General features: G+C 41.9%; 1 annotated feature.

Moving 5' to 3' along the window:
- Positions 509–1,218: an enhancer, noted in NCBI's record as "OCT4-NANOG-H3K27ac-H3K4me1 hESC enhancer chr16:54364959-54365668 (GRCh37/hg19 assembly coordinates)". NCBI's record gives its function as "activates a minimal SCP1, AML or CMV promoter by ChIP-STARR-seq in naive H9 embryonic stem cells {active_cell/tissue: H9 hESC(naive)}" and the evidence as "EXISTENCE:reporter gene assay evidence [ECO:0000049][PMID:30033119]".

Here is a 5,258-nt window from a genome sequence, read left to right on the forward strand (position 1 = left end):
TTGAACTTCAGTTTCCCCCATGGGAAATTGAATGGGGCTAGCATCCATCTCCTGAAGGGTCACTGAAGGGATTAGGAGTGATGTGTGTAAAGGGCCTTGTACATAGTAGGTGCTCAATTCCTGGTGGCTGAGCTTGTTATTTTTGTCCTTGTTTGTGAGCCCAGGGTCCCTGTGGCTACCCCGGGGCCCTGCTTTCCTCTCTTCTCAGCCTGATTTCATCCCTCTGAGGCACTTGGGGGACACTACCTACCCTGCTGAGATGGGGAGAGGGGCTCATGCCTGTGGTCCACTCTGACATCTGATGGATAGATTTGAAGTCAGGGATATGGATCCTGGGGGTTTTTATTGCCCCCTGTAGAAATGACTTATCAGCTGGCAATAGGTTGAGTGTGGCCCGAACTGCAGCTCTGGTAGCCGAGGAATGCAGTGCCCAGCAGGGCCTGCCAGGTAACAGGATTGGTGGTGGCACTGGCCAGGCCTCAGCCGGACAATAATCTGCTGGTGGGTCAGCTCTCTTCCCTTCCTTTTTTTCTCCTCCAGGTCCCTCCTCCCTTACCTGGAGTGGCTAACTGGTCTTATTGACTTACTCTGCCATTTCTTCATAAAGCCCTGAAATTTATCCATCAAGCTGTATTTCCCATTAAAATGTGGTCGCAAGGTGGTATCCAATTCTGCAGAAAACATGTAGCCACAAGCCTCTCGTTGCCAGTTTATTATCAGCGCCAGGGTCCCTGGGGTCTGGGATGGCCAGGCCTGGCTCTGTGCACAGGATAACAGTGGGAATCCTCCTGTCGCAGCCCCCCTCCTCTGCTTGAGCCTCTGCCTTGGGGAGACCCGCCTGCTAATTTATCTTGGAATGTTTGGGCTTGATGCTTAATTGCTCTGTTTTCTGACTTGCTAAGTAGATGAGTGTGAAAAGCAAGTCAACAAATAAACATAAGCTTCTACCAGAAGACCCTGAAACAAAGCAAACAGCTGCCTGCATAACTGAAGCAGAGCAGAGTATCCCTGGTGTCACTCAGTAGGAGACAAATTCCACACACTGTCTTGGGGCTAGGAAAGACAGAACTGGGGCTTGTGTCATACGGAAACGAGAAGATCTTGGTTCCTCCCTTACTGGCTGTGAGACCTGAGAAAGTGACTCCCTCTGCTGCAGTTTTCTTGCCTATAAAATGGGGATGATACTGGTGCCTGTCCCACAGGATCATTTTGCAGATTACGTGAGATAAAACAGGTAAAGCATTTAGAATAATTCCCAATGTATGGTGTGCCTGATACATGTCAGCTATTTCAGTTACAATTCTTTTTTTCTTTTCTTTTTTTGAGACTAGGTCTTGCTCTGTGGCCCAGGCTGGAGTGCAGTGGTGCAAACATGGCTCACTGCAGCTTTGACCTCCCTGGCTGAAGCGATCCTCCTGCCTTAGCCTCCTGTGTAGCTGGGACCACAGACACATACCACCATGCTTGGCTAATTTTTTTGATTTTTTGTAGAGACAGGGTCTTTGTTCCCCAGGCTGGCCTTGAGCTCCTGGGCTTAAGCAATCTTCCTGCCTTGGCCTCCCAAAGTGCTGGGAATATAGACCCGAACCACTGTGCCCAGCTTCAGTTACAATCCTAATGGTTATTAATAGAGTGTGAATGGCTCTGTGATCTCAGACAAATTTCCCAAACTTTTCACGCTTGTTTCTTCATCTGTAAAAAAAAGAAACAACCATAGCTACATCATGGAGGTAGCTATAAAAATTATTAAGTGAAATAAATTTATGAAAATGTTAGCCCCATGGTTAGCACTTAGCAGAATCTGAATAAAATCACTTTCTTTTCTTTTATGTAGGCAGAACTCCATCATCCAGACAATTAAACTGATGAGGTTGTTTAAAAAATAAATTTTTTTACATTTATGCTTAAAACAATTTATTTTTATTTTTATTTTTAATTGACAAATCAGAACTGTATGTGTTTATTATATACATCATGTTTTGCCATATGTATACATTGTGAAACGATTAAATCAAGCTAATTAGCATATACCTGAAAATGGTACCTTCTTCTTTTGTGATGAGAAAATTTTTAATCTGCTTTCCTAACAAGTTTCAAGCATACAATATGGCCCAGCACAGTGGTTTTATAGAATCCCAGCACTTTGGGAAGCTGAGGCGGTCAAATCCCTTGAGCTCAGGAGTTCAAGACCAGCCTAGGCAACATGGCAAAACCCCATCTCTACCAACAATACAAAAAATTAGCCGGGGAGGTGGCAAGTGCCTGTGGGCCAAGCTACTTGGGAGGCCAAGGCAGGAGGATCACTTGAGCCCATGAAGTTGAGGCTGCAGGGAGCTTTGATCACGCCACTGCACTCCAGCTTGGGTGACAGAGTGAGACCTTGTCTCAAAAAATAAAAAAAAAAAGCATACAATACATTGTTATTAACAATAGTCACCATGTTGTAAGTTAGTTCTTCTGAACTTATTCCTCAGGTCTAAATGACATTTTGTATCCTTTGACCACTTCTCCCTCACTCCCAGTTTGTAATTATAGCACAACACATATAAAGTACCGAGTATTTAAGGGGAAAACTCAGTGAATTTTTCTTTTTTTTTTTTTGAGATGGAGTCTCACTCTGTTGCCCAGGCTGGAGTGCAGTGGCATGACTTTAGCTTACTACAACCTCCGCCTCCCGGATTCAAGCGATTCTCATGCCTCAGCCTCCCGAGTAGCTGGGACTACAGGCACGCATCACCAGGTCCAGCTAATTTTTGTATTTTCAGTAGAGATGAGGTTTTGCCATGTTGGCCAGGCTGGTCTCGAACTCCTGGCCTCAAGTGATCTCCTGCCTTGACCTCCTAAAGTGCTAGGATTACAGGTGTAAGCCACTGCCCCTGGCACTCAGTGAATTTTTATAAATGTATACATGACCCAGATCAAGATAGAGAGCATTTCCAAAACTCCAGAAAGTTCTGCTGCCCCTTCTCTCCAATACTCGACCCCTTACAGGTAGCCTTGATCCTTATCTCTAATACTATAGACTAGTTGTGCATGTTCCTAAACTTTACATAAATGGGAGGGTAGAATATGTACTCTTTTGCATCTGGCTTCTTCAGTTCAGCATCATGCTTTGAGATCCATCGTGTTATTTATTATGCATATCCACTGGTGCACAATTTGTTTTGTTTTATTTTGCTTTTTTTTGAGACAGTCTCACTCTGTTGCCAGGCTGGAGTGCAGTGGCGTGATCTTGGCTTCCTGCAATCTCTCCCTCCCGGGTTCAAGCAATTCTCCTGCCTCAGCCTCCTGAGCAGCTGGGACTACAGACACACACCACCACACTCAGCTAATTTTTGTATTTTTAGTAGAGACAGGGTTTCATCATGTTGGCCAGGCTGGTATCCATCTCCTGACCTTGTGATCCACCCGCCTCGGCCTCCCAAAGTGCTGGGATTACAGGCGTGAGCCACCGTGCCTGGCCTGTTTTGCTTTTTAGAAAGGATCTGTTGCCCAGACTGGAGGGCAGCGCCATGATCATAGCTCACTGTAACCTTGAACCCCTGGGCTCAAGCGATCCTCCCACTTCAGCCTCCCAAGTAGCTGAGACTACGTGTGCATGTCACCACGCCTGGCTAATTTTTAAAAAACATTTTTTGGTGGAGACAAGGTCTTGCTATATTGCCCAGGGTGTCTTAAACTCCTGGCCTCAAGCGATTCTCCCACCTCTTTCTCCCAAAGTGCTGGGATTATAGGAGTGAGCCACTGTGCCCAGCTGGCGCACAACTTTGTTACTTGTGAATAAAGCTGTTGTGAAGGTTCTCATACATGTCTTTCTATGGCTGTATAAACTTATTTTTGTTAGCTGTGTACTTAAGGAGTTGAATTGCTGAGTCATAAATAGGTGCATGTTTAGCTTTATCAGATCTTGCCAAAAATATATTTAAAGTGGTTATTCTCAGGTTACTTCTTGAATTGTTAAAAAAAAAAAAAAAAAAAAAGAGGAGGAGTTAAGTCTAGAAGAGATGGAATGTTGAACTTATTTGATTATAATTGTATTGCATTCTATTTTTCTCTTGTTTTATACTATTTATAATTCACTGAGAATTGCCCATCTTCTACAGGAACAGTTGCAATTGTAACCAAATACGTTGCTACCAAAATATTCATTATTTATAATGGAAAAAAATAAGAACAATCTAAATGTCCATCTATAGAGGAATGGCTTATAAATCACAGCATAGGTATATTGTGCAATTATAAGACAAATAAAAAAGTGCTAGTCTGGTATGGTGTATAAGCTATAGTAAGAGTTTAAAAAGCATGTTGGAGAATATCAGGCAGAATATGGACTACATATGATGTTTATTATATGTCAGAAAATTTTTATGGTATACTGTTTTGCAACTTGTTTAAAGTTACAAAATCTCTCTCTCTCTCTCTCTCTCTTTCTCTATTGAAACTGGGTAGAGCGTATAAACAGGAAATTCACACAAGAGCCACCTGGAAAGGCTAGTAAACATAAAAAAGGTGCTCAATGTCATTAGCACTTATGAAAATGCAATGAAAACAATCATGAAATATCAGTTCACATTCAATAGATTGGCAAAAATTTGAATGCTTGACAGCACTTTGTTGGCAAGGACATAGAGCAACAGGAATTTTCATGTAGTGAAAATTTGAATATTGTCAAATTGTTCTCTAAAGTGGTTGTACTAATTTATATTCGATGGTGGAAATATAAATTAGTACAAGCATTTTAGAGAGCAATTTGGCAATGTTTAGTAAAGTTGAAGATACTCATGCCATGACCCAGACATTCCATCTCTAGCTCTATACTCCAGAGAAACTCCTGCATAAGTATTTAAGGAGATGAGTTCACCACAGCACTGTTTGTATAGTGAAAAATTTGAAACAATTCAAAATACCTCTCAAGAGGAGAACTGATAAACTGTGGCATAATTACACAATGAAATATGACATAGTGTTCCAATGAATGAAATAATGCTACAGTATAACAACATGGAACATCTGGAAACAATGTAGATGGAGAAAAAGCAAGTTGTAGAAGAGTACATACGCTACGATACTTCAGGAGGAATAACATGTGAAACAAAGTTACATATTGTTATGGATACCAATAACTCTAGTAGAAGATTAATGGGTATGGAAATGATAACCTCTAGATGTAAATTACTTTTGGGGAGGGAAGGAGAACGTGATGCAAGAAAGAAACAGTGGCTTTCAATTTTGTCTGTGATGTTTTATTTCTTAAGCTG

The sequence above is a fragment of the Homo sapiens genome, chromosome 16 (assembly GCF_000001405.40).
Source record: "Homo sapiens chromosome 16, GRCh38.p14 Primary Assembly".
Lineage (NCBI taxonomy): Eukaryota > Metazoa > Chordata > Mammalia > Primates > Hominidae > Homo > Homo sapiens.